This window comes from Homo sapiens, chromosome X (genome assembly GCF_000001405.40).
Source record: "Homo sapiens chromosome X, GRCh38.p14 Primary Assembly".
NCBI lineage: Eukaryota > Metazoa > Chordata > Mammalia > Primates > Hominidae > Homo > Homo sapiens.
In genome coordinates, this window is record NC_000023.11 from 150,436,438 (window position 1) to 150,448,668 (window position 12,231).

At 37.6% G+C, this 12,231-nt stretch overlaps 1 protein-coding gene across 11 annotated transcripts in view; it reads left to right on the top strand.

Annotated features, from left to right (window-relative positions):
• Positions 1 to 12,231, top strand: part of MAMLD1 (mastermind like domain containing 1) — a 152,602-nt gene that overhangs the window by 74,866 nt on the left and 65,505 nt on the right. For all 11 annotated transcript variants that reach the window (XM_047441709.1, XM_024452317.2, NM_001400515.1 and 8 more), the window contains one exon: positions 9,017 to 9,175. In XM_047441709.1, coding sequence (XP_047297665.1) covers positions 9,080 to 9,175 — 96 coding nt within the window. In that variant the 5' untranslated portion in view covers positions 9,017 to 9,079. The remainder of the gene's footprint in view (positions 1 to 9,016; positions 9,176 to 12,231) is intronic.

Here is a 12,231-nt window from a genome sequence, read left to right on the forward strand (position 1 = left end):
TATTTTTGTCTGAGTTATTTCAAAGAGCCAGTCTTCAAGCTCTGAGATTCTTTCCTGAGCTTGGTCAGTCCTGCTGTTAATACATTCAGTTGTATCCTGAAATTCATTAAGTGAGTTTTTCAACTCTCTCAGATCAGTTTGGCTCTTGCTTAAGATGGCCATTTCGTCTCTCATTTCCTGTATTGTTTTATTGTATTCCTCAGAATCCTTGGATTGAGTTTTGACTTTTTCCTGAATCTTGATGATCATCATTTCTATCCATATTCTGAATTCTATTTCTGTCATTTCAGCCATTTCAGCCATTTCAGCCTGGTAAAGAACCATTATGGGGAAGTAGTGTGGTCACTTGGAGGTAACAAGACACTCTGGCTTTTTGAGTTGCCAGAGTTCTTGGCCTGGTTCTTTCTCATCTTTGTGGGCTGAAATTCTTTCAGTCTTTGAAGTTGCATTCCTTTGCATGTTTTTTTTTTCTTTTTTGATGTCCTTGGGGGTTTGATTGTGATATAAGGTGAGTTCAGTTGGCTGGTTTTGTTTCTGGGAGATTTTAGTGGGGCAAAGCTCAGCTCAGGACTTCTGGGCTGTGTGTTCTAACTCTGAGGGGCTGGTATCAAGTCCTCAGTTTTGTTCTCTGGCCCTTCAAGGTTAGAAACCTGCTGTGCTGAAGGGGCTGAGGTGTTCCTGGACTGCTGGTCACAACACTGCAATGGATGGTGCCAGCCAAAGCACTCCATCGGACAGTAGCAGCAGGATCCATGCTCATTCACATGTGCCAGCAGCAGTAGCAGAACGGCAGGGTGCACTTTCTTTGGTTGGGGTGGGTGCCGGTAGGTGCAGGGGTTGCCAGCCTCCATGCAGATGTTCACAGTGTCAGCGATGGCAATGTGGCATGGAGGCAGCTACTTCTTCTTTTTTAAAATGTGTGCATTTTATTTCATTTTCTTGCCTTATTGGACTAGCTAGAGCTTCCGGTATTATGTTGAATATCAGTGTCAAGAGCAGATAGCCTTGCCTTGTTGCCACTCTTAGAAGGAAAGCAGTCAGTCTTTAACCATGAAGTGTGATGTTAACTGTAGATTTACTGTAAATATTCTTTATCAAGTTAAGGACATTCCCCTCTGTGCCTGGTTTTTATCATGAATAAGTGTTGAATTTTGTTGAAGGCTTTTTCTGCATCACATAATAGGATACTATGATTTTAATTATTTTTTTGAGATGATGTAGATTCAAATGAAGTTGTAAGAACTAATACAGATAGATGCTATGTACTCTTCAGCCATATTCCCCTAATGATAACATCTGGTGAAATGATCATACAATATCACAAATGGGATATTGACATTGACACAGTCAAAATACAGAACATTTCAATCACCATGGGTAGCTCTCATTTTGCTCACATATAGACATATCTACTTCCCTTCCATACCCACTCTCTCCTTAATCTCTGGAAACCACTAATCAGTTCTCCATTTCTATAGTTTTGTTATTTTAAGAATGTTACATAAATAGAATAATATAGTATGGAACCTTTGGGGATGGTCTTTTTTTTTTTCACTTACAATCATTCTCTACAGATTCATCCAGGCCGTTGCTTGTATCAACTGTGTATTTCTTTGTATCGCTGAGTAGTCTTCCATAGTATACATGTACCATCATTGAAGCATTACTGAGTTGTTTCCAGTTTTTTACTATTATGAATAGTGCTACCACAAACACTTATGTGCAAGTTTTGTGTCAACACAAGTCTTTATTCCTCTGGGATAAATGCCCAGGAGTGCAATTACTGGGTCATATAGTTGCTGGATATTTAGTTTTTAAGGAAACTGCCAAACTGTTTTCCAATGTGGCAATACCATTTTACATTCCCACCAGCAATGTTATGAGTGATTCAGTTTCTCCACATTCTTACCAGCATTTGGTGTTGTCACTATATTTTTACAAAGATGAAATTCACATAACAATCTGTGATATTTAGTACATTCACAATGTTATGCAACCATCACCTCTATCTAATTTCTAAACATTTGCATCACCATAAAATAAAACCTCATACTCATTCGGCAGTTAGTCCTCATTCTTCCCCTCCCCTCAGTTCGTGGCAACCACCAATCTGCTTTCTGTCTCTATGGATTTACCTATTCCAGACATTTTATGAAGATGGAATCATACAGTATGTAACCTATTATGATTGGCTTCTTTCAGTTAGCTTAATGTTTTCAAGGTTCATTCATGTTTCAGCATGTTATCAGTACTTCGTTCCCTTTATGGCTGAATAATATTCCACTGTGTGGATATACCAAAATTTTGTTTATCTGTTTATTAATTGATGTACATTCGGTATGTTTCCACTTTTGGTGCTGCTAAGAACATTTGTGCAAAAGTATTTGTTTGAGTCCTTATTTTCAATTCCTTTGGGTATATACCGAGGAGTGGAATTGTGGGGTCAAATGGTAATTCTATGTTTAACTTTTTGAGAGACCGCCAAACTGTTTTTGATAGCAGGTGCAACATTTTAAATTCCCACCAGCAATGTATGAGGGTTCCAATTTCTTCACCTTCTCACCAACACTTGTTATTTTCTTCTTTTTTAATTATAGCCATTCTAGTGGGTGGGAAGTGGTATGCTGTGGTTTCGGTTGTCATTTTTCTGATGACTAATAATGTTGAACATCATTACATATGCTTGTTGGCCATTTATATATCTTCTTTGGGAATAAATCTATTTAAGTCCTTTGCCTGTTTTTTATTGTGTTGTCTTTTTTATTGTTGCATTTTAGGTGTTATGTGTATATTCTAGAGACTAGGTTTTAATTAGCCATATGATTTGCAAATGTTTTCTCCCATTCCGTAGGTCTTTTCATTTTCTTGATAACGTCCTTTGATGCCCAAAAGTTTTTATGAAGTCCAATTTATCTATTTTGTTGTTGTTGTTCATGTTCTTAGGGTCATAAAGTTCCATTGCGAAATTCAAGGTCATGAAGATTTACTTCTATGTTTTCTTTTAAGAGTTTTACAGTTTTAACTCCTATGTTTAGGTTGTTGATCAGTTTTGAGCTGAATTTTGTATATGATATAAGGTAGGAGTCCAACTTCATTCTTTTCTCTGTGGATATCCAGTTGTCACACTACCATTTGTTGAAGACTAATCTTTGCCTCATTGAGTGGTGTTGGCACCCTGGTTGAAAATCAATTGGCCATAGATTAATGGGTTTAGGGGCCAGGCATGGTGGCTCACGCCTGTAATCCCAGCACTTTGGGAGGCTGAGGCTAGCGAATCACTTGAGGTCAGGAGTTCCAGACCAACCTGGCCAATGTGGCAAAACACCGTCTCTACCAAAAATACAAAAATTAGCCGGGCATGGTGTAGTCTCAGCTACCTGGGTGCCTGTAATCCCAGCTCCCCAGGAAGCTGAGGCAGGAGAATCGCTTGACCTGGGAGGTGGAGGTTGCAGTGAGCCTAGATCGAACCACTGCTCTCCAGCCTGGGAGACAGAGCAAGACTCTGTCTTAAAAAAAAAAAATGGATTTATTTCTGAATTCTCAAGCCTATTTCATTGGTCTATATGTCTATACTTATACCAGTGCTACATTGTTTTGATTACTATTGCTTTGTGGTAAGTCTTAAAATCAGGACGTGAGTCTTCTTGTTTTTCAATATTGTTTTGAGGTGATCACATGATTTTTAGTCTTTGCCTGTTAACATAGCATATTATGGTAATATGGTGGTATGTATGATTAACATGGATTGACTTTTGCATATTGAACTACCCTTGCACACCAAGAATAAACTCAACTTGATCATGGTATATAAATCTTTTTTATAAATTGCTGAAACTTTCTTAAGGATTTTTGTGTCTATATTCATGGGAAATATTGGTCTGCAGGGTTTTTTTTTTTTCTTGCTTGTACAGTGTTTGTCTTTGCTGTCAAGGTAATACAATGAGTTGGGAGGTGTTTCCTCTTCTCTTTTCTGTAGGATATTATGTAGAATTGGTGCTAATTCTTCTTTAAACAACTAATATAATTCTTTAGTGAGGTCATCTGGGCTTAAAGTTTTCATTTCAGATTTTTAAATTATGAATTTGATTTCTTTCATAATTATATAGCCATTCAGATTATTTCATATTGGGTAAATTTTGGCAGTTTGTGCTTTTATAATGATTGGTCCATTTTATCTAAGTTTCCAAATTTATATGTGTATTCATAGTAGTAGTCCCTTATTATCCTTTTCATGTCTGCAGTCTATAGTAACATCTCCCTTTTCAATCAGAGTATTGGTAATTTGCATCTTCCCTTTTTCCTTTGTCAGTCTTGCTAGAGATTGGTACATTTTATTAATTTTATGAAAGAACTAGATTTGTATTGGGTTTCTCTATTGTTTTTCTCTCTTTAATATTATTATTAATATTAAATTATTATTTATTTAATAATTAATAATATTTAATATTTAATATAATATTTATTAAATTTAAAATATTATTTATTAAATATAATATTATTATTTATTATTAAAATAATTTAATAAAAATTATTAAATATAAAATAATATAATATAATATTTAATATAAATATTAATATTTAATAATTTAATAATTAATAATAATAAAAATATTATTAATATTATGTTTATTGATACAAATATTTGTACATCTTCATGCGGTACATATGATATTTTGTTAAATGCATAGACTGTGAAAGTATCAAGTTAGGGTACTTGGGGTGTCCATTATCGCTAATATTTATCATTTCTATGTGTTGGGAACATTGCAAGTCCTCTCTCCTAGCTATTTAGAAATATACAATACATTGTTGTTAGCTATGGTCACCATATACTCTGCTATCAAACTGTCTTCAGTATTATTGATTTTTATTATTATTTTCTTCCTTCTGCTTGCTTTGGGTTTATTTTATTCTTATTCTTGTAGGTTCCTTAAGTGGAAGCTTATATTATTAATTTTAGATTTTCCCTCATTTCTAACACAAAAATTTAGTTTTATACATTATCATCTCAGCACAGCTTTACCTGTGTCCCACAAATTTTGATACATTGTATTTTCACTTTAATTCAGTTCAATGTAATTTTTATTTCTTTTAAGACCTCGTTAACCCATGAATTTGTTTCAAAGTATGCTTTTTAATTTCTAAGTGTTTGTAGATTTTCAAGTTGTCTCTCTGTTATTGTTTTCCAATTTGATTCCATCATAGAGAAAACATCATTTATTATTTGAATTCTTTTAATATTTTGTGGATTGTTTTATCACCAAAAATATGTCTATATTGGTATATATTTCTTGGGTGTTTGAAGTAATGTAAATTATATTCTTTTCAGGTGGAGCAATCTATACATTTTATTTAGGCCTTATTGAAACCTGTTGTTGGGCTCTTATACATCTTGCTGATTTTCTGTGTAGTTGTTCTATCAGTTGTTGAGAGAGGGTGTTGAAGTCCCCATCTATAAAGGTGAATTTTTCTATTTCTCCGTTCAGTTCTAAAAACGTTTGCTTCCTATATTTGCAGGTCTTCTGTTTAAAGCATACACATTTAAAAGTACTATGTCTTGTTGGTGGATTGACACTTTCAGCATTATGTAATGTCCCTATCTGTCGCTGGTATTTTTTTTTTTTTTTGCTCTGAAGTCTACTTTATCTAATATCACTAGAGCCACCTCTGTTACTTTTTAAAATTAATATTTGCATGGTGTATCTTTTTCCATTATTTTACTTTCAGCCTTTCTAAATCATTATATCTGAGGTGAGCATCTTGCAACAGCATATCATTGGATCATGTTATCTTCTTTGCCAATCTCTGTCTTTTAATTGGTATGTTTAGACCATTTTCATTTATTGTATTTATTGATAAATTAGTGCTTAGTTCTGCCAATTTATTTTTGTTTTCTGTTTGTTCTCTGGTTTTTTGTTTTTCTATTTTCTTTTTTCTGACTTCCTGTGGGTTACTCAAACAATGTTTAGAATTCCATTTGGTTCATGTATAGCATTTTTGAATCTATCTTTTTGTATAGCATTTTTAGGGATCACTCTAGGTATTACATTATATATATGCATAACATAATAATCTACTGGTGTCAACATTTTGCCAGTTTCAGTGAAGTATAGAAACCCTACCTCTCCTTTCACCCCTTTACTTTCCTCTATTTATAATGTAATTGTGTTAAATATTCCTTCCACATACATTTACAGACACATCAGACAATGTTATAATCGATGATTTAACCTTCAAACATAATTTGGAAAACTCAAGAGGAGAAGGAAAGTCCATTATATTTACCCATAATTTTTTCTCTTTCCATTGGTCTTTATTCCCTTCTAATGTTCAATATCCTTTCTTTTATCATTTCCTTTCTGCTTAGAGAATTTTCTTTAGATATTCTCTTTGTAGAGGCATATTGTTGACTAATTTTGTTAGTGTCTCTTGATCTGAGAATGTCTTGATCTCCCTTTCATATCTGAAGCATATTTTCACTGAGTATAGGGTTCTGGGTTGACAGTTCTCTTTATTCAGCATTTGAAAAATATTATGCTACTTCCTTCTGGAATCCATGGTTTATGAACAAAAATTCACTCTCATTCAAGTTATTTTTCTTCTATAGGTATCATTTCTCTTTCACTGTATTCAAGGCTTTTCTCTTCATGTTTCAGAAGTTTTGTTGTTACAGGTCTTGGAGTGGATTTCTTTATATTTATACTGTTTGAGGTTCACTCAGCTTCTTAAATTTCCAGATGTATGTCTTTTGTCAAATTTGGGGAGTTTTCAGCAATTATGTCTTTGAATACTTTTTTTTTTTTTTTTTTGGTCTCATTCTCTTTCTCATCTCCTTCTGGAATTCCAGTGACATGAAAGTTAGATCTTTTGTTTGTAATTCTGTATGTCCCTGAGTCTATGTTTACTTTTTTTTCCAGGATATCTTCTCTCTGTTGTTCAGATTGATCATTTCTTTTTATTTTATTTTATTTTATTTTATTATTATTATACTTTAAGTTTTAGGGTACATGTGCACAATGTGCAGGTTAGTTACATATGTATACATGTGCCATGCTGGTGTGCTGCACCCATTAACTCGTCATTTAGCATTAGGTATATCTCCTAATGCTATCCCTCCTCCCTCCCCCCTCCCCCCACCCCACAACAGTCCCCAGAGTGTGATGTTTCTATTGTTCTATCTTAATTCTTTCCTCTGTTCTTACCATTATCCTCTTGATTTGATTCACTGAATTTATTTCCATTATTGTATTTTTCATTTCTAAAATTTCCATTTGGTTCTTTTTTATATGTTCTGTTTCTCTGCTGAGAATTCTGATTACTTTGCTGAGACTTTCTATATTTTTTTCATTTGCTTCCAAGCATGGTTGTAATTGTTGGTTGAAGCACTTTAATGATTACTTCTTTAAAATCCTTGTCAGGCAGTTCTGACATCTGTGTCATCTTGCTGTTGGCATCTGCCGATAATATTTTCCATTCCATTTGATATCTTACTGGTTCTTGGTCTGACAAGTGCTTTGCTACTGAAACTTGGGCATTTTGGATATTGCATTATAAGACTGGATCTTATTTAAATTTTCTGTTTTAGCTGACTTCCTCTGACACTGCTCTGGCAGGGAAGGCGGGCACCATCTTATTCTTCATTGACATCAGGGAGGATGGAGCTCCTCATTACTGCTGGACAGGGGTGAGGATTCCAACTCCCTACTAGGCTTTTACTGATACTACTCTAGTGCGGATAGGGAAGGGCACCTCATTACTGCTATGTGGGGGTGGAGTCTAGGCTCCTCATTTGGCTTTTGTTGATGGAATATAATGGGACTGCATTTTCTTCTATGGTGTTTGGCTGGAGTAGAGCAGTTATTGTCTAAAAGTTTTCTGTCTTGCTAGGTTACCTCTTTCCTGGTCTTTTGGCTAGAAAGAGCAGGCTTTTGTTGGGGCTTCTTTGTTAGTGCCCATTGGCATTCTGGGTTTCTGGCTTCTTCAGCTCCAAGTCTGGTATATATGAGGCAGAAACAAAATCCAGAGAACTCGCCACTGCATCATTGCTCAGGTCCCAAGGTCCCTAACCAGTATACTTTTTTCTTTCCACCTTTTAATGTCTTATTATGTTTGTTTTATATATAATGCCCAGAGGTTTTAGTGATACTCAGTGAGAGAATGGGGAAAAGTACTTCTCCATATTTCCAGAGGCAGAGGTTTAGACTTGAGATTTTAGAGGCTGATGCTGTACTGCCAAGGAGGTTTATGGGAAGTAGAGCTGTCCTTATATATTAATGTCTTAGTGGAGCTCTTATTTCATGTCTACATCATGAAAAACAAAAAGAAATGAAACTTTACCTGGGTTTGCATATGTCTGCTTATCTGTCACTGGAGGAGTAGCCATGATCATAACCTGCTCAGTCAGTTTCCTTTACATCAGTGCACCAGGGTTTCATGAGCCCCCTTTCAATATCTGTTGCTCCCTTCCTGTGTCTGTCAGGCTTTGAACTGTTAGCTCACTTGGCTGTATCCTAACAGTGCCACAGTTGGTGGCTGCTTCTTCTATGAACCATAAGGCTTACTCTAGTAGAGCTGAAGAGGCCCTAAGCCATCACCTAATTTAGCCACCATGTTTTCATATAAGGAAATTGCATCTCAGAGAACAGAGGAAGTTTTCCTGGATCTCACTGCATATCACACAAAAGCAAATCCAGACGTAGGACCCAGATATCATACTTGTAGGCCCAGTGTTATTTTAGTCACATGAAGCTGCTCCTCCATCCACCCCTCTACCTTCCAGTGAACTTTGTTCTTTCCTCTGGTCAAGGACTGTCATTTTATCCCAGCCAACTGTCTCACAAAAATGCCCCTCATTCTTGGGGGTGGGGGTGCTCAATGAGGGTGGTGGGTGGGAGGAAGGGAAAAGGAATGTGGCTGACTCCACACAAACCTGTCTTCAGAGTGAAAGTCTGTGATTCACGGGGTCAGTGGTCTCATCTTCATATCTGAAAGACAGTGTACTTTTTGTCTCCCTAAGCCCTGTGTCTAGGTCGTTTGGGAAACGCCTTGGAGAGTCAAGAATAAATTTGCAGGTCAAACAATGGATGACTGGAAAAGTCGGCTTGTAATCAAGAGCATGCTTCCCCATTTCGCCATGGTGGGAAATCGTCAGGAGCCCAGAAAGCTCCAGGAATCGGTCAGACAATGGGCCATGGGGGGAGGGGGGTATTTAATGCTTCTAATCTTAAACTTGAACGTAAGATGTGTTATTGAAATTTTCTGTGCAAACTTGGTGGCAGGGATCCAACTCAAAATATAAGGAATTCAAATGTGATCTAGAAGAGATCTAGGAGATGAGCTGATCCCACCCCTTGTGGGTTTCTAGAAGAGCTGGAAATATAGTCTAAGGTTCCATATAGCCTCCCAGTCTAGTAGTGATCACTGCATTGCACCCATTCAATAAGAAAAATGAGGAAGGATGAGAGAGGGAAGACGAGTTTACTTTTTCTCTTAATAGAAGCCAGTCAGAATGGCAAGCACTAGATATATTGCATGAGCTTCCTAGTATGACTGAGAACAAAAAGCTAGTGAGTAGGCACAGAGAGGTCTTCCCATTCAACTTTCTGGCCCTGTTGTCCTTTTAGAAACTCATCTGACACACTTCTACTTTCCTCCCTGGGAACTCAGACATCATCCAAGTGTTCTGAACCTCAGGATTAGGGATTCCAGTGGTAGTTCTAGGAGCAGGATGATGATAGAAGGGACTATGAGAGCCATTGACTAGTTTAATTTGACAATAAAAGCCTGCAACACCACCAATCTACCAAGATTAGCTCTGTTAGCAGGAATTGCAGCAAACACAATAGCTGTTATCTCAGGGTATTAGGGCCACAGAGGAGTGGCTTGCTTAATCTCTGGAATTAATAGAGCAGAGAGGAAATGGCTCTTATAGAGCCGTGGGTCGGCTTCCTTCCTTTTCATAGAACTGGAAGCCCTGGGCTCTGAGGTAATGCCATTTCACATAACTAGAGGGCCTGTCTTCTCCAATTCCCAGGGCAATCCACTTTCAGCAAGTCAGCTTTCAATTTATTTTAAAATTCTGATATGTGCACAGATGTGGATGGAGGTGATTGAAATCTTGTTTTCTCTTTGTTTCCTCATTGTCAACCACCAACAATGTATTGAGAATGTGCTATCAAGTTGAGCATGTAGACATTTACAAAACTGTTTACTGCACTCCCCAGCTCTCACAGAGATTGCAGTCAGGTGGGATGGCAGAGATGGAGACATTACTTGGCCAGCAGCCTGTCCAAATTGCCAGGCCTTAGGCCTCTTCTAGAAAGAAATCTCTAACCTCCATCCTAATTACCCTTTATATTTCATGCTTCTCTTTTATGATCAACAATTGAGTCAGTAAAGAAAAACCTGATAATGCTCCCAGAGTCCGTGATCAGTTTTAGCATGACTTTAAATTTCTCTTTTATTTCCCACTTGTTTCCATTCACTTGGGCCAAATTGTAGAAGAAAGTGTTGATGGATTGTGGATGCAGGGGTCCTCTTCCCCTTCTCCCCAACTCCATCAACACTCTTAAAAAGTGTGGCCAGTAAGTAACTGCTTTGGTTTTGATCAGTGTACAGTTGAATGCACAGATTCCAGTGGGGGTTGTCCTTAGAATAGGTCCTTGGAGTGGCCATCTGTGCATTTACTCTGGAAAAGTTGTCATTGCTTACGTCATTTCCAGGCTTGGCTTCTCTTTGCAGATGGCCTTTAGAGCCCTTTGTAAGCTTTGCCAAAAATTCACATTCATTGCTTTAGAGTCACACTTTGGATTTGATCAAGATCAGCCCTCTGCCTCCTCTATGCCACACCTTGTTCTCTGAAAGAGTTCTCTGTTGGTTCTGAGTGGCTTGACTCTTTCTAAAACTTCAAGCTGTCCTAGAAGACCAAGAATTCACCCCAGTTGAGGAGAACAAAGAATTTTAAAAATTTGCCTCAGCCTCCAAAAGCAACTCTCTCAGATGGTCTTCTTCACAGTTGAAACAGCATTGGATGACATTGAGAGAGCCCACTCCTTTGGCTGGACGTGACAGGTGCTGCTGTACGGTATCCCTGTAGCCTCAGAAAGGTACCCAGTGCTAATATGAAACTCTGCTGCACATGCTGAGGATCTCAGCATCTGGGTGCTTGTGAACTGAGGTTGACCAAATAAAAGCAGAATGGCCTGTGAGTCCACCAAGAAACCTGCAGTCCAAACAAGTTATTGTAAGGCCTGGAAGGTGAGTGGCCAAAGGAGGTCCTTTGCAAGAGCTGGGCTTGCATTTCCAGGGTGTAGCCTTAGCTGGATCTCAGATGTTTCCCTTGTTTGCTCTCCTTCTGACACTTAATAACACCCAGGGATGACACCCTGAACCCTAGTCCCAGGAAACCATGTGCATCTGGAAGCACGTTTCTTGCACCACTCTCCCTCATCCTGAAAACATCGCTAACAGAGATTTGCTTCAGGCATTCAGCTTAACTGGTTCTCTTGTTCTTTCCTAGAAAACAAACAAACAAACAAAAAACATGTTTCAAATCAATCTTGAAATAAAATGATATCAGTCCCAGAGGAGAGTTCTCTTTTAGCAGTCCTTGAATTTACATGGAAATAATTGTGAGCTCCCTTGAAGGAAAACGTGCATCTCACGTAACAGTTGTTCTTGGCCTAAGACTAGGGCTCAGAACACCTGGGTTCTAGTCTTGCAGCTACTCCTCACTAGCTATGGGGCTTTGTCTATCCTTTGCCCTCCCTGAGAACAAAGTTCAAATGAACGAAAAGTAAGAATAACCACCTTTAATTCAGCATTGACTAGGTGCTAGGCACTTTACTAAGCATTTTTGGGGCATTATCTCCTGTAATCCTCATGATAACCCTGGGAAGAAGAAGCTATTATTATCTCCAGGAAACCGAGACTCAGAGAGATTAAGCAATTTGACCAAAGTCACAGATATAAGAAGTGGCAAACTCAGAGGCCAATGTCATCACCACTATACTCTAATGCACATTGAAAACTACAAAATGCTGAATACATATCAGGCAGGGGCCATCACCATAAGAAATCTCAGTAATGCAAGTACCTTTTCAGCATCTGTTCATTCATTTAATAGTGTGACTGGTTAATGACTCTGGCGATCTGGGGAACAGAAGAGTTTGACCTTTTGAACATTTGGGCATCTACCCAAGGTTAATAAGGCATCCAGTCTCTGCACTTAGT